We start from the raw sequence: 15,963 nt of genomic DNA, 5'->3' as shown, positions 1-15,963 counted from the left end.
TCAGATCTCCATGGGGCCTGACCTAGTGGGGCATCACCCCAGTGAAGGGCCTCAGTGTGGGGACTGCTGGCTGTCCCTTTCCTGGCTTGACTGCCCCTGCTGACTGTGCTCTTGGCACTCTCTTATGGTCCCAGAGGGGGCATCTGTCCCTCCACCATCAACCTGATACTTTTGCTGGCTCCAAATTTTGCAGTCTATTTTCAGATGTAAAATGAGAGGCGGGGGGCGGGGGTTAATTAGGAATTGGCCTTGGGTACTAACAGGGTCACTGCCATGCTAGTCTGAATAAATCCTTTATCACCACTGGCGTACAGCCAACAGTTCCCCAGTCCTCTGATCTATCTGGAACCATGCCCAGCAGGGACTGTGCCCCCACTCCCAAGCCACATCGATGCTAGGGCAGTCTGCTCAGCCCTGAGTCCTCCGGGGAGCAGGGGGGCAGAGCTGAGCGGCTGCCCGGAGCTTGGCGGGAGGAGGGGACAGGGGAGAGGGAGGTGGGGAGATCCGGCTAGAGGGGAGGCTCTGACATCTCCTTCCTTCCTGGTTCCTGCAGCAGCTGCTGCCACTGCTCAGCGCGGTGAGGAGGGAGCCGGTGACTCGGAGACGGTGACTCAGAGGCAGAGCGGCGCAAGGGCCAAGGAGTACTGGCGTCCATGGACCCTGGGGTAAGGGGGCTGCGTGGCAGCAGCTGACATTCCTGAGAAGAGCTTCCTCCCACCTGAAGCTGGTGGGTCTGCTCCTGAATAGAGGTGGAGAGGGGGCACCCACCTGGCTCACCTAGACCCTTCACCTGCCTACCGATAGAGCCTCCCCCTCTACCCACAAGCAGTGAGGGGCCAGGATCCCCACAGGGCCGGGAGAAGGGCCCAGAGATACCTGAACACCGGAAGAGTTTGAGAACTTTCAATGGCTGAATGCAGGAGTTTCCTCCCAGGTCAGCCTCTTGCAGCAAGGGTCCCTCTGCCCCAACCTCCTGGGCACCCGTTCCTGCCACATCCCTGTCCCCTCTGGGCCTCAGTTCCTCAGGTGCTTGCTAGCTCCATTAGAAGATCTGGGCTGCTTCCCCCACCTCAAACCAGCCTCGCCCCTCCAGTCCCCTCCCCCGTCTCACACATGCAGAGCCTCATGCATTATTGATCTCCCGGTGGAGCCAGGATGGCCAGGGCCAGTGCCAAGGGTGCCTGTGGGCACTGCTGCAGGACCTGTGCAGACCTGGGCATGTCCTGGGCCCCCTCTTCTCTCATGAAGTATCTCCTTTAGCCCAATGTCCTGCCCTCTCTGGGTGGGTGGCACTTCTCAGAGCCCCAAGGACTGTGAGGGTAGACAGGGGATGGTGAGGCTTTAGGGGGTACTGAGGGTCCAAAAAGGGCATCCTAGGGGCATGTTTGGTGGGAGGAGACATGGGAAAATGGGGGCTATCTCAGGCCTCAGTTTCTCCAAGCACTAGATAATATGGAGATTAATTGGTGGGAGGCTGGGGAGTTTTCTGCAAGATCATGGCAGAGAAGTCTCTGAGCTACGGTGGCAGGGTGGAGGGGTCCTGAAGGCAGAGGCAGCTGGATTGAGGAGGTCTCGCTTGTCCAGTCTCTGAACCCCTCTGTCTCTTCTTGGAGCCTCTTCTGTCACTCCCTTGCTTCACCTCTGAGCACTCCCAGGGAAGCCTCTAAAGAAAGCACTGAATGTTTCTTGGAGCCCCAGAGTATGTGCCCAAGGCGGGGCTGGGCATATGTCTTGTGGTTTTCCCTGGGCACCTGCCCGTCTGCTGTGTGCTAGTTCACTCTCAGGGCAGTGTCCATATCAGGTGAAAATGGGTGGGGTCGGGACAGAGGGGCAGACTTGGGAGAGGCTTGGCAGGTGAGCAGAGGGTATGTTGGGGAGCCCTTATCTCAGAGGGTGTGGGAGGGGCTGGAGGTGGGGAAGGTGATAGCAGAGTTTGCGTTAAGGGGGTCTTTCTCTTGCTTCAAGGACCCCGTCAGGAGCAGGTGACATCCTTCCCCTTCCACCCTGCTCCCTGCTCTACATCCCCAGCAGGGAGTGGCCTCTCCCTTCTCCATGGACTTCCAAGAGAGGGACCCGCCCTTCCTGCCTGAGAGCGCTCAGTCCTCAAAGCCCAGCAGTGCTCAGCAGGTCAGAGAGTGGGAAAGCGGTGGTGGGTGGGCCAAGCTGGAACCAGACAGGGAGGGGCCAAGGCGGACGTCTCACCAGTGCTCCCCTCCCTCTGTCCTGGACTGCAGGCCTCTGAGCTGTGGGAGGTGGTGGAGGAGCCTCGGGTCAGGCTGGGGACAGAGGGTGTCATGCCTGAGAGGCAGGAAGGTCACCTGCTCAAGAAGAGGAAGTGGCCTCTGAAGGGCTGGCACAAGGTAGGGTGGGCAGGCAAAGGGAGGGTCCAGACATGGGGGGCGGGGTGGGAATGGGGGGCAGCTGCTGGGCAGTCCAATGGTGTTTGCATGATGAGAAGGAAAAGAAAAGCTAATTTGTGTGGTTGCCTTCTCCCTCATGCCCTTCCTCTCGGCCTCCCGGGTCCTGTCACTCCTGGGCAACATCACAGAGATACTTTGTGCTCGAGGACGGGATCCTTCATTATGCAACAACCCGGCAAGACGTGAGCCCGGGCAGTGGCTTGGGGTTGTGGGAGGAGTCTGGCCCCAGTATGCCCTGGGCAGGCATGGGGTATCTGGAATCGACCAGAGCAGGGTCTGAATCCCAGGTCCACCACTTGCTGAATGTGTGATCTCGGGCAAGTTACATCCCTGGGCCATAGCTTCCTCACCTCTAATGGGAGAGCACCATCCCCCAGGTGCAGAGCTGTCATGGTAAGGGAGGTCATACGTACAAGGCTCTCTGGACAGGGCAGAATAAGTGCCCAAGAAATGGGGGCTTTACCACCCTCATCCTGGTCCCATTCTCAGGCTGGGAACAAGGAACTGAAGGCCTGGGTACCCAGGATCTCTCTGGGAGGGTGTTGCCTTCCACAACCCTGCAGACCCCTGAGGGTGGGAATAGTTTTTCTTGATCTGTGACTTCTTAGAGACCAAGATGTGACTTGACGTAGGGGAGCGTTCTGCACATGGGAGGATGATTGACAAGTCTCTACTGATAGTGTGACTTGGACATGAGGGTGAACCTGCCACCTGGCCCTTGAGCCTAGAATGGCATCAGGGAGATGGTGGCTCTATGGCTCTGAGAGCCTAAAACAGGTCCCCTCTCCCTCTACCAACACTTCACCCCCAGATCACCAAGGGGAAGCTCCATGGCTCCATCGATGTCCGGCTGTCGGTCATGTCCATCAACAAAAAGGCCCAGCGCATTGACCTTGACACTGAAGACAACATCTACCACCTCAAGGTGACATCCCTGGGAGGCAGGACGTGTGTTGGCCCCCAACCTGACAGAGGCATTGGAACACACAGGGGCAGGGGCTGAGGGTCTGTGGAACTCAGGGTCTGTCTCTGAGTTTGACAAAAAGTAAGTTTCCATCCTGTAAAAACAGCCAAGGGCAAACCTGCACTTCTTGGTTGTTGTATGGACAGGCACAGAGCTAAGGGCTCAGACACCTGGGCGCCTTGCGCTCTGTCTCCCTGCAAGTGAGCCTTGCACAAACCAGGCTCTGTAAGAAGAGACCCTGCTTGTCTGGGGACCAGAGCCCTGACTTCTTGCTCTTGGAAAGTGGTCCCTCTCTTCAGATAGCCCTCCCCCTCTCCATCACTTCTGCAGATCAAATCCCAGGACCTATTCCAGAGCTGGGTGGCGCAGCTGCGTGCCCACCGCCTAGCCCACCGCCTGGACATGCCCCGTGGCTCACTGCCCAGTACTGCTCACCGGAAGGTAAGGTGGACCCTGGGGTGGGGGCAGGTAATGTGGCAATTCAGGGGCAAGGGCTATGGAGAACTGTGAGACCCAGGGAGGTGGGCATCATCCTTCCTGACCCTGGGCTCACCCCACAGGTTCCTGGTGCCCAGCTTCCAACAGCAGCTACTGCCTCAGCCCTACCTGGGCTTGGACCGCGGGAGAAAGTGTCTTCCTGGCTGAGGGACAGTGATGGGCTGGACCGCTGCTCTCATGGTGAGGGGCCCTAGGCGCAGCACCTCCAAGGGTAGGCCCCAAGCTGGCAGGTCTAGGAGGGGAAAATGTTACCTCCATCCCTGCCTCAGGGAGCCCCAGTTTAATGAGACAGCCTCTGCCTCCAAGGAGATCCAGTCTACCTGGGCCCTGTCTAGGGGAGTCCCAGTCTTACAGAGGAGTAAGAGTCTGCCTGGGCACATAGACAGACGTGGATGCAGGGACAGGAGTTGTGACAAAGCAGATACTGAGTGCCCACACAGGGCAGGGGCCTGAGGAGTAGCGCCAGGGAAGGGGTGTGCTCTAGGAAAGGGTTCCTGCAGTAGGGTCTGTGAAGTTGGCCTGGAGGGAGAAGTGTAAACCAAGTAGAGAGAGAGAGAGGGTGAGCACATCCCCAGTCTGCTCAAAGGCAGCAAAGGTGAGGCATGGTCTAGAGACAGAGCAGAAATTAGGCTTCAGACCCTCCCAGGAAACCAGGGGGCACCACACCAACAGGGGTAGCGACCTGAGCTCTTGAACAGGGAACAGGGAGCAGTATCGGGATCTCCATGAAGTCAGTGTTGGGAGAGTCATGTCCTTGAGGCTGGGTTCGGTGGCTCATGCCTGTAATCCCAGCACTTTTGGAAACCAAGGTGGGCAGATCACCTGAGGTCAGGAGTTCGAGGCCAGCCTGACCAACATAGTGGAACCCCATCTCTACTAAAAATACAACAAATTAGCCAGGCATGGTGGTGCGCACCTGTAATCCTAGCTACTCGGGAGGCTGAGGCAGGAGAATCACTTGAACCTGGGAGGCAGAGGTTGCAGTGAGCCGAGATCACGCCATTCCACTCTAGCCTGGGCAACAAGAGCAAAACTCCGTCTCAAAAAAAAAATGAATGGTGTTCTTGTTCTTGTTCTTTTTCCCCGCAGAGCTCTCTGAGTGTCAGGGGAAGCTCCAGGAACTACACAGGCTCCTCCAGAGCCTGGAGTCCCTGCACCGAATCCCCTCAGCCCCTGTTATCCCCACACACCAGGTAAGATCCAGGGGTACACACAGGGTCCTGCTCAGGCCCCCGATCCCATCACTTCCCCAGGATGGGTCCTATTCCTCCTACATCGCTGCAGTTTCCTGGAGAGCCATGCATCGCCTGGTTTCCTCCCCACCCCTTACCCATGTCCAAACTGTATCAAGATTGTCTCTGTTCCTCCATGCCCATGCCTCTGCCAGGGTGGCTGTCATCTTCCACTGGGATGTCAGTTGTCTCTGTCGCCCTGCCTGAGCGGCCGCATCCTCTGTGCTGGGTAATCTGCGCCCTCCTCCATGGCGCAGGAGGCCGTCTACCTCTCCCAGGCTGTGATGGTTTCTGCCCCTTTTCCCCACCCTGTGAGTAAAATTGCCCCCACCTTGACTTGCCAGGCCTCAGTGACAACCGAAAGACCCAAGAAGGGGAAACGGACAAGCCGCATGTGGTGCACCCAGAGCTTTGCCAAGGATGACACCATTGGACGGGTGAGGTCGGGCATGCACCTCACGTAGCTGGGGCAGGATGCTCTAAGGAGGCCGGCCCCTTCAGCCCTTCCCCTTCACCTACAGGTTGGTCGTCTCCATGGCTCTGTTCCCAACCTGTCTCGCTACCTGGAGTCTCGGGACTCCTCGGGCACCCGTGGGCTGCCACCCACAGACTATGCCCACCTGCAGCGCAGCTTCTGGGCCCTGGCCCAGAAGGGTAAGTGCCTGCTGGGAGGGGCTGGTGGGGAGCGGACAGGAGCGAGCGAGGACTCTGATGGTCTGCCCCACTCCCTGTAGTGCACAGCTCCCTCAGCAGCGTCCTGGCCGCCCTCACCATGGAACGGGACCAACTGAGGGACATGCACCAGGGCTCAGAGTTGTCAAGAATGGGGGTGAGGCCTGGGGGACAGGGTGACTGGTGCGGGGAGAGGGCTTCAAGCTGAGGACTGCCAGCCTGGGGTCCGATAGCAGATCTGGGTCAGGGTGGGGGGTTGGCAGAGGCAGTCTCTGCAGAGATGCGGCAAGGTGGGGAGGACCTCATCCTCCTGGCACCGTGTCCCTCACCCTCTCCCTGCAGGTCTCTGAGGCCTCCACTGGCCAGAGGCGCCTCCACTCACTGTCCACCTCCTCCGACACCACGGCGGACTCTTTCAGCTCCCTCAACCCTGAGGAGGTGAGGAGCCAGGGTGGGCTGTGGGGGCCGATTCTCCTGTGCCTTCTCTCCCAGCGAAAGCCAAGGCCCAGGGCAGTGGGCAAAGTTGGTTTTTAGTCCCAAAGACAGCCCAAAAATCCTGGCTCCATTGTCTTTCCCATAAGGTAAGCGGCAGCCCCATCTCGATCATTGTGTAACAACGTGCAGGGTACTTTTACTTTTAATTCGGGGTCCTCTGATGCAGTGATTCTCACCCTCAGCATAACAAAACTGAGGCTCAAAGGATCTAATGGGTGGGCTCAGGCTCCTGCAATTATAGACGGGCTGAACTGAGACTCGGGCTCTGAGCACAGACGCTGGGGCTACGTTCCACGGGTTCAAATCTGGCTCTCCTGCCTGCCGGCTTTGTGATCCTGAGCCTCAGCATTCCAATCTGCAAAGTGGGGGTGATAATTGCACCTACCTCACAGGGTAGGTGTCAGGATTGAATGGGTTAGTGCACACAGAGGGCTTGGAGTGGGGCTCAGGGTCAGTGCCAGGAAGTGTAAACAGTTATAATGGAGCCTGCGTCCCCTCACTCCCAGGCCAGGGCTCATTTTACTATGCCTTTGTCCCGCTCTCACTCCTCTCTGCCTCTTCTGCTCAGAAGGTGTCTGACTCAGCAAAAGTGCCCGGTTATGCCTCCCTCTCAAGGGAACTGTCAGGCAAGCGGGTGCCCTGCTTGATCCCCCCGGCTTGGCCCCGGAGCCTGACATCCATCTGGCTGCTCCCACAGCAAGAAGCTCTGTACATGAAGGGGCGCGAGCTCACCCCCCAGCTATCGCAGACCAGCATCCTGTCCCTTGCTGATTCCCACACGGAGTTCTTCGATGCCTGCGAGGTTCTCCTCTCCGCCAGCTCTTCTGAGAATGAGGTGAGGGAGGAGAGAAGCTGGCAGTGAGGCGGGGTAGGGGGGACCTTGGGAACAGAAGGGTGGGGTCCACAGAGACCATAGATTCCTCAGCCCCTTCTCACCACCTCAGCTGCTATCTCTGGGACTATGTCCAGATCAGCTGAGTTTGTGTGGCCCAGCTCAGAAATCTCTGCTAGGGACTCTTCTCCTAGAGGAGTGTGACATTTGTATCCCCATTGGGTTCTCCTGAAACTACTGCCATAGTTGCAACCCCGGTCATCTTCCTATGACCCTGTCTCAGCTTCAGCACTCCCTTGATTCCCTCTTCCAAAACCCTGACCCTCAGTAATCCCCAACTTCCCTTCCCTCTGTGTCCCATCAAGTCCCTGAGCTTTTTCCCGCCAGCCACAGGGCCCGGCCCTCCCCTTCCCAAGGTGGCTGGGCACACTCCGTGATGCCAGGCATCCCGGGGCAATGTCTTAGGGCTCAGAGTGCCCCCAATACATTCTCTTCCCCTTCCCACCAAAGGGCTAGTTGGGCAGATTCTTGCCAGGCCCTGGGCACTGCCCAGCTGCCCGGGGGAGGCCCAGTCTGCCCGGCCTGTCATCTGTCCTGGCCCAGGGCTCAGAGGAGGAGGAGTCCTGTACCAGTGAAATCACCACCAGCCTGTCTGAGGAGATGCTGGACCTCAGGGGAGCTGAGCGCTGTCAGAAAGGTGCCAGCTGGGTGGGCAGGCAGGGAGGGGTGGGAGGCGGGTGGAAAAACAGGGTTTGTCCATGGCCCAGGCCCATGCAAAGGCCATCCCTTGTGGTGACTGATGGGCTAGTGGCTTTGGATGCTGACCCCAGGAGCTAAGGAAGGCCAGGTCATGAACTGGGAAATGTTCCAGGAGCAGCTCTGCTGGGGTGGGCCAGGCTCAGGCCTTGGGGCTGGCCTCTGTTGCAGCAGGCTTGCCTAGGGCCTTGGAGGGAGGCAAGAGATCCCACTTTGCTGCTTGTTAGCAGTGTGGCTCTGGACCTCTCATTTTACTTCTGAGAGCCTATTTCCTCATCCATAAAATGGGCTGGATAATCTGCACCCTGACCTCTGTTTCTGTGTTTATAAAGGGAACAAAAGGCAAGGGTGAGGACTCGGGAGGGGCTCCTGGGGTGCAGGGTTTCTGGCAGTGGGAACTGTCTGCCCCTTTGCATGGCTCCCACCCCTGCCAGCCAACTGAGTCCCTGGGAACTTGTCAGCAGTTAGAGCCCCAGTCACCCTGCCCTGCTGTGAGTCGAGACAAGGGCTCAGGGGCGAATGTCCCAGGGGCTTGGGAGGCAGCTGGGCCCTGGACTGGGCTGTGGGCTTGCCATGTCTGGGATGCCTGGTGCCCAGATGGAGAGTGACATGGCAGGGCGGCCCCAGGGGGGTGTGTTCCAGGGAGACCCATGGGGCCACCCCGCCGTCGCTGCCTGCCGGCGGCCAGCGGGCCTGGGGCTGACGTGAGCCTGTGGAACATTCTGCGCAACAACATCGGCAAAGACCTGTCCAAGGTGTCAATGCCTGTGCAGCTCAACGAGCCGCTCAACACTCTGCAGCGGCTCTGCGAGGAGCTGGAGTACAGCAGCCTCCTGGACCAGGCCAGCCGCATCGCCGACCCCTGCGAGCGCATGGTACCTGCTTCCTGTCCTCACGCCCAGCCCAAGGCTGCTTCCTTCTCCCTGGGATCTTTTCTCCCAGAAAATCCTGGCTGGGCTGTTCCTTATTGCTGAAGTTCCACCCCAAGATCCCATACTTTGCTTGCTTGGGGTGGCGGCCCCGTCCTCAGTACCCTGCACCTTCCTTGCCCCCCACAGGTGTACATCGCAGCCTTTGCTGTCTCGGCCTACTCCTCCACATACCACCGAGCCGGCTGCAAGCCCTTCAACCCTGTCCTGGGGGAGACCTACGAGTGTGAGCGGCCTGACCGAGGCTTCCGCTTCATCAGTGAGCAGGTATGGCCTTGGGAGAAGAGGGCTGGCCTTGGGTGTCTGGGGCAAGGAGGGACCTGGGCTTTGGGACCAGAACTGGGGCAGAGGGACCAGGGCCTGGGAGAGGAGCGTGGGCAGTTGGCTCTGTGCCGGGCTCTGCGGTGCTCCTGGCCCACGTTCTGAGGTCCAGCCATTGGATCCCAGGAGTTCCACCTGGGGGCTCACGCTTTAGGGGGCAATCTTGGGCTAGGATGAACTGAAGGATGAATTGGAGAGAGCTGGGAGTACAGGGGCTGGGGAGAATGGGATGTTCCTTCTAGATGGTGTAGAGGAATGCATGGAGCAGGCTTGGGAAGGTTAGAGATGGGGCTGGAAGACAAGGTGGGCCAGATGCTGAGGAGCCCTGCCAGTGAAGGGAAAGAGGCCTTGGGCTTTTGTATGTGTGTTTTTAAATCCTGAAGGCATTGGCACCATGGAGGATTTGAGGCAGTGGAGTGGCTGCTGAGAATCACAGTGTGCAAAGCACACCCGGGTGGTGTGTGCCTGGTTGGCGGAGGCCGACAGGGTGCATCCTGTCATCTCTGTAGAGCTAATGAGTCCCTGCACTTAGGCTGTGGTGTGTTTGGTTCAAGAGCTGTTTATGTGCTGCCCCGGACAGGGGCTGGTCCTCAGCAGCGTACTCTCCCGTGTAGGGGATGGGGAGGCTTTTGTTGAGAGGGAGAAGTCTGGGCGGCCTGGTCTGGGGAATTCAGTGGGTGCATGGTGGTGCCAGTTAGTGAGGTGGACAATGTGTGTGGGAACACACTATGTGGGCTCGACTTCCACAGGAGATGGCCAGGAGGCTCTGGAGTCGCTGGCCTGGAGCTCCTCCAAGAGCACCAGGTGGCACTAACAGGTCAAAGAGTGGCCAGCTTAGAGGGAGGAGGACATCAAGGGAGGACTGCCCTCGGGAGGACTGCTCGCAGTGTCTAGGGAGGAGGGCAGGCAGGAGCGCTGGGGGCCCCGAAGGGGAGGGGTCGCGGGTCCCTGGGACCTGAGGGGTGTCATCGGCTTCCTGCGTGAGGAAGGTTCCCGAGACAGGATGGGGACAGAGACTGGATTACAGAGGGTGTAGAGTGTAGGTTTTATGAAAAAATAGAGAAAAAAGCAGACTATTTTCCAAAAATTTTACCATGAGGGACAGAGGAGAGAGAAGTGGCAGTTGGTGGGGGATAAAGGTCGAGGCAGTTTGTGTGTTTGTTTGTTTGTTTGGATTTGAAGTGTTTTTGGAAACATGGTGAAGATTGACACAGTACACTCGTGCGTACAACAGAAAATAAGCCTCCCTCCCATCCCAACACTCCGAAGGGACTACTGCTACCAGCTTTTGGGATTCCTCCCAGAAATGTTTTACGCATATGTGAACAACGAAGTGTGTGTCTAGAAGAGAAAGATTTACTATTTTTTAAGGTGGAAGAAACAGACAATCTTTATATTCAGAGAGAAAGAGAAATAAAGAGGGAAAGACTGAAGGTGCAGAAGGAGGAGGAGTGGGCAGCCTGGGGGGCATCAGTGGGAGCAGGCTGACTGCCGCCAGACAGAAGGAATCGCCCCCCTGACCCACTTCTGTTCTGCCACAGACTGTGGGAGGCGAATGAGGTTCGAAGGGCCTGGCTTGTGCCTGGGTCCTCAGAGGAGGATTGGTGAGGGATGTCAAGGCCCCAGATACAGGACATTGTAGATTTAGCAGTTTCTTAGTGTGGGTCGTGTCTGTGTTTTGGCAACAGAGTCAGAGCCAGGGATGCACAGAGGAGGCCGGTGCTGGCATTTCTGGCAAGTGGGGGAGGTGGCTGAAGGTATTAGCTGAGAGTGCTGTGAAGGGCAGGATGGGGCTGGCAGACCATGGGAGGGCAGTGCAGTCGGGGACCTGGTCATCTTGGCTGGAGCTGTGGGCGACAGGGAACGGAGAGAGAGGCAAGGCAGGCAGGCTGTGGGATGTTGGAATTGAAGGCTCCAGATGTGGAGCCATTCCAAGTGGGAACAAGGCCAAGTGTTTCCAAGGGTGTGGGGTGGAGGTTGCAGGGCGATGATCAGCTTTGGGGTGGGGTGGGGGGAGATGGTGGGGAAGAGGGTCATCAGCAAGGGCTGGGTTTCAGGCAGGGCATGGGGTGGAGGCCCCACCCATCACTGTTGCGGGGAACTTTTCAGGCTTGAGCAGGGGTTCTGGAGGACGCCATAGACAGGGCCAGCCAGGGGAGCTTCTGAGGAAGAGCGAGTGAGAAGGGAGAACATAGGGGCCTCATGGGAAGAAGGGAGGATGATGGGTTTAGGAGGTGGCCAAGGGTGATAGGGACAGGAAACCTGGAACCAACTGGTCTTGTGGTACTTAGGGGAACTAGGGGTGGGAATAAGGGACTTTGGGGTAGCCTAATGGTGCTCGGGGACAGCCTCAAGATAACTTCTTTGCTCACCAAGGTCTCCCACCACCCCCCTATCTCGGCCTGCCATGCAGAGTCTGAGAACTTCGCCTTCTGGCAAGGTGAGGAGTAGAGGGCAGGGCCGGGGTGGCCCTGGGCAAAGGGAACACCCTCTGGCCTTATCTCTGTTGTTCACTCTCCCTCCCCTAATCCAATTCCAGATATGAAGTGGAAGAACAAGTTCTGGGGCAAATCCCTGGAGATTGTGCCTGTGGGAACAGTCAACGTCAGCCTGCCCAGGTGGGATTCTTAGACTCTCAGCAGCCAGGCCAAGCCACAGGCAATCCTTCAGGCTGGAGGGGGCGTGGCCTTAGGGACAGGATAAGGACGGGATAGGAAGGTCTGGCCTGAAGCTGCTTGCAGTGGCGTCAGTGTCTGTAGGTTTTACACCTATATTTACAGCAGTTGCCAATAGAGAAAGATGAAAAGCCTTGGAACGTAGTAGAGCTGGAAGGGCCCATCGAGGTCATCTGACTCAGCGGTTTTCACACTTTTTTGACCATGACTCACAGTCTCACAGTCAGAAATGCCTTTGAGACTTCAAGCCAATGTGTACACATACACACACACAGAAACCTAAATTGATCTCAGGACTCAGGGGTCACAGACAAAATTTGAAAAACTCTCATCTAGCTAATTTTACAGGCAGAGGTCTGAAGCCAGAAAGAAAAAGGGTATTGAAAGTGGTCTGGGTGTTGTGGTAGAGATCCTGGATTTTGGAGTCAGAAGCCATGAGTTCTGCCACTCAATAGTGATGCAAATTAGCACCAGCCTGTAGTCCCAGCTACTGGGGAGGCTGAGGCAGGAGAATTGCTTCAACCTGGGAGGCGGAGGTAGTGGTGAGCTGAGATTGCACCACTGCACTGCACTCCAGCCTGCCTGGGCAACAGAGCAAGACTCTGTCTCAAAAAAAAAAAAAAAAGAAAAGAAAAGAAAAGAAAAGAAAATAGTGATGCAAGCAGCAAAAAGACTTGACACTTCAGAGCCTTGAGCCTGCTTGCCTGTGACATGACAGTAAGAAGTAATACCCAAGAGAGGTGAGGATTAAGCAGGATAACGGATGTGAACGTACACACGGTTCCTGGTGCCCAGGGGCAGGACACTTTGTGTATTTTCATCCCTGTTGCTCAGGCACTCAGGGGCTTTGTAGATGAGTGGAGATGTTTTCGTTGAATACGTTCTGTGAAGGCCACTCTTCCTTGTGAATATAAGTCATCCTTCACTGCAGAACTGGAGTTGGGACCCCAGGGTTCCTGTCACAGGCCCACATGACCTGCTTCAGCAAGACAGGAGGCCCCTGACTCACTTGTTCCCTGGGGCCAGCCAGCTGCCCTTCCATACCTTGTCTTTCTCAGGTTTGGGGACCACTTTGAGTGGAACAAGGTGACATCCTGCATTCACAATGTCCTGAGTGGTCAGCGCTGGATCGAGCACTATGGGGAGGTGCTCATCCGAAACACACAGGACAGCTCCTGCCACTGCAAGATCACCTTCTGCAAGGTGTGTGTGCCACCCTGACCCTGCCCATCCATCCCCGGCAGCCTCTGTCTCTGGAGGTCACCCTGGCTAAGGGGGAGGGGACACCTCCCTAAACCCTGCCTTCCCCACCCCAGGCCAAGTACTGGAGTTCCAATGTCCACGAGGTGCAGGGCGCTGTGCTCAGTCGGAGTGGCCGTGTCCTCCACCGACTCTTTGGGAAGTGGCACGAGGGGCTGTACCGGGGACCCACGCCAGGTGGCCAGTGCATCTGGAAACCCAGTAAGTGGAGGGGTCACAGAGGGCTGGGTGAGGCTGGAGCAGCTCAGGCATGGTGCACCTGCCCCAGCCCCTTGCCTTCCCCCAGACTCAATGCCCCCCGACCATGAGCGAAACTTCGGCTTCACCCAGTTTGCCTTGGAGCTGAATGAGCTGACAGCAGAGCTGAAACGGTCGCTGCCTTCCACCGACACGAGACTCCGGCCAGACCAGAGGTCAGTGCCGGATGGGTGCCGGCCTAGAACCATCTAGTTCACTCCCTCCACAGAGTACAGAGCTGGGGCTTTGTCCTTCCTTCACTGAGTGGCCTCAGAGAAGTGGGGCTTGTCTAGAGGACAGAGTTGGGCAGAGACAGAGGCCTTGGGTTTGGGGGCCCCTGCAGATGGGCAGTTCCCCTGAGTTTGATCTGGATCCTCAGGTACCTGGAGGAGGGGAACATACAGGCCGCTGAGGCCCAGAAGAGAAGGATCGAGCAGCTGCAGCGAGACAGGCGCAAAGTCATGGAGGAAAACAACATCGTACACCAGGCTCGCTTCTTCAGGTGCCTCGGCCTCGCCCTCCGCCCTGGGTCTCCCCATGAGCCCTGCTTGGAGCAGGGCAGGTGTGGGAGGCAGCACCTTAGGACCCTAGCCTGCCTTCTAGATGTTCACCCCTCACTGCCACCGCCTTCTCCCACCAGGCGGCAGACGGATAGCAGCGGGAAAGAGTGGTGGGTGACCAACAATACCTACTGGAGGCTGCGGGCCGAGCCAGGCTATGGGAACATGGATGGGGCCGTGCTCTGGTAGCCCTGGCCCCGGGGGCAGGAGGCTCTGGTTCCTCACTCCTCCTGCCTCCACCCCCTACCATGGACACATGGGTGAGGCCGGGCTCCCCGCCTCACTGCCCTTGAGACCAAAGGGGCAGCCCTGGCCCTCCCTCCCCTCTGCTGGCCAGAGGGTCTGCATCTCAGCCCACCCCCAACCCCACCGTTTGGGGTGAGAAGCAGAATCTGTGCTTCCCCAGTCTCCTTGCCCCAGACAACCAGCATGTAAGACCCTTCCCGCTTCACCATTCCGATTCCTGTCCCCTTTGGGGTACTTGGGGGAGACTCTGGCTCCCAGGATCTGTTCCCTATTTCAGTGCCTTCCTAGGACACAGGGGACTCCTTGACGCTCCCCAGGCTTTCTGTGCCCAGGCCTCTGTCCCCAGCGGTGAGGTTGCAGTGAGTGAAGGAGAGGAGGTGATCTGTTCTCCCTCCCCTTCTGCCCATCTCCAGCATCTTCTTCCCCTTCCCTGGCCCTGCAGGGCCTTCTCCAGCTCCCTTTGGTTAGTCCCTGGCCATCCCTCCTGTCCTGGATCCCTTCTCCCTAACTGCAAAATGCCTGCAGCTTCCAGCTCCTTCGTCCCTGATCCTCAAGCGGTTCCCTCCCGTCTCAGCTCAGCGGATCCCCCAGAGTGGAGGAGGCCTCTCCATGAGGAGGGGAGCAGCCCAAGGCACCTGTCCTCTGACCCACCGGCAGCGAGTGCGCAGGTGTGAGTGTAAGTTCATGTAGGAGAGTGTATGCGTGTGCGCCTGTGCCCTGCTTGCAGGCAAGCAGGGCTCCCTCATGTAGCCCCGCCTTCCCCCTGCTGGGGGTCCACCACATCGCTGCTCTTTCTCACAGTCTGCCTCTGATGAGGGCGAATTGCTATGACATTCCAAGCTCCAATAAAGACTGTCCCAGACTTTGGCCTGTGACCATTCATTGAAAAACATGTGGGCTCATGGTCAGTGGAAAGCCCTCTGCCACTGTCATGGGTAAAATGAATTGTGTCCCCAAGAAACGTTTCTAGCCCCCAGGCATGTGCATGTGACCTTAGTTGCAAATAGTGTCTTTGCAGAGACAAGTTAAAATGAGGTCACATTGGATTTGGGTGGCCCTACTCCAGTGACTGGTCTCCTTATAAGTAGAGAGAAATTTGGGCACGCAGACGTACGCAAGGGAAGACAAGTGTGTGAAACAGACACACGGGAGTCGGCCACGTGGAGACGTAGGCAGAGATGGGAGCGATGCATCTGAAAGCCAAAAGTGCCAAGGCTGCTGGCAACCACCCGAAGCTTGGAGAGAAACAGAGAGATTCTCCCACTGAGCCTCAAGAAGGAGCCAACCCTGCTCACACCTGGCCTCAGCTATGAGAGAATACATTTCTGTTGTTTTAAGTCACCCAATATGTGGTGCATTGTTACAGCAACCTCAGGAATTGAATACAGCCACCACTAACCTGAGCCAAAAGCCCAGAGGCCATCTGCCCTCCCGCTTGATGCCCTGTCACTTCTACCCCAGGTGTCTCTCTGCACTGGCCCCTTCTCTCCATTGCACTGGCTAGGCTGGGCCCTCATCAACACTTGTCTGGACTATTGTGGTGGCCTCCAGGGTGGTATTTCTTCTTCTTCTTCTTTTTTTTTTTTTTTTTGAGACAGAGTTTTACTCTTGTTGCCCAGGCTGGCGTGCAATGGCGCGATCTCAGCTCACCGCAACTATGCCTCCCCGGCCCAAGCAGTCCTTCTGCCTCAGCTCCTGAGCAGCTGGGATTACAGGCATGCATGCCACCATGCTTGGCTAATTTTGTATTTTTAGTAGAGACGAGGTTTCTCCATGTTGGTCAGGCTGGTCTCAAACTCCCGACCTCAGGTGATCTGCCCGCCTAAGCCTCCCAAATGGCTGGGATTACAGGCATGAGCCACCGCG

General features: G+C 57.5%; 1 protein-coding gene across 4 annotated transcripts, besides 4 other annotated features; it reads left to right on the top strand.

The window, feature by feature from the left end:
- Nucleotides 79-248: an enhancer, noted in NCBI's record as "active region_12317". NCBI's record gives its function as "activates an Ori minimal core promoter by ATAC-STARR-seq in GM12878 lymphoblastoid cells {active_cell/tissue: GM12878}" and the evidence as "EXISTENCE:reporter gene assay evidence [ECO:0000049][PMID:35858748]".
- Nucleotides 359-574: a silencer, noted in NCBI's record as "fragment chr17:45899123-45899338 (GRCh37/hg19 assembly coordinates)". NCBI's record gives its function as "represses an EF-1alpha promoter that drives an FKBP-Casp9 reporter gene in an ReSE screen in phorbol 12-myristate 13-acetate-treated (for megakaryocytic differentiation) K562 erythroleukemia cells {active_cell/tissue: K562(+PMA)}" and the evidence as "EXISTENCE:reporter gene assay evidence [ECO:0000049][PMID:32094911]".
- On the top strand, nt 537-14,959 carry OSBPL7 (oxysterol binding protein like 7). Of its 4 annotated transcripts, none has more exons than NM_145798.3 (23): nt 537-665; nt 1,966-2,127; nt 2,235-2,360; nt 2,549-2,602; nt 3,232-3,345; nt 3,715-3,825; nt 3,945-4,062; nt 4,972-5,075; nt 5,459-5,551; nt 5,636-5,768; nt 5,849-5,943; nt 6,129-6,224; nt 6,979-7,116; nt 7,717-7,810; nt 8,497-8,744; nt 8,928-9,065; nt 11,496-11,559; nt 11,659-11,737; nt 12,853-12,997; nt 13,111-13,255; nt 13,341-13,467; nt 13,671-13,793; nt 13,932-14,959. In NM_145798.3, exons 2-23 carry the CDS (start codon nt 2,053-2,055, stop codon nt 14,038-14,040), a joined length of 2,529 nt encoding a protein of 842 aa, NP_665741.1. In that variant the 5' UTR covers nt 537-665; nt 1,966-2,052; the 3' UTR covers nt 14,041-14,959. The 4 variants fall into 4 exon arrangements, 3 of the variants coding, with proteins under 3 accessions (NP_665741.1, XP_047291248.1, XP_047291249.1); XM_047435292.1 differs by having other exon boundaries at nt 537-934; XR_934362.2 differs by lacking the exon at nt 13,932-14,959 and having other exon boundaries at nt 13,385-13,467; nt 13,671-13,763.
- Nucleotides 12,930-13,430: an enhancer, noted in NCBI's record as "H3K4me1 hESC enhancer chr17:45886267-45886767 (GRCh37/hg19 assembly coordinates)". NCBI's record gives its function as "activates a minimal SCP1, AML or CMV promoter by ChIP-STARR-seq in naive H9 embryonic stem cells {active_cell/tissue: H9 hESC(naive)}" and the evidence as "EXISTENCE:reporter gene assay evidence [ECO:0000049][PMID:30033119]".
- Nucleotides 13,431-13,931: an enhancer, noted in NCBI's record as "H3K4me1 hESC enhancer chr17:45885766-45886266 (GRCh37/hg19 assembly coordinates)". NCBI's record gives its function as "activates a minimal SCP1, AML or CMV promoter by ChIP-STARR-seq in naive H9 embryonic stem cells {active_cell/tissue: H9 hESC(naive)}" and the evidence as "EXISTENCE:reporter gene assay evidence [ECO:0000049][PMID:30033119]".
- Nucleotides 14,960-15,963: the final 1,004 nt, after the last annotated feature.

Source organism: Homo sapiens, chromosome 17 (genome assembly GCF_000001405.40).
Source record: "Homo sapiens chromosome 17, GRCh38.p14 Primary Assembly".
Taxonomy (NCBI): domain Eukaryota; kingdom Metazoa; phylum Chordata; class Mammalia; order Primates; family Hominidae; genus Homo; species Homo sapiens.
This window is presented reverse-complemented; position numbering and strand designations above follow the sequence as displayed.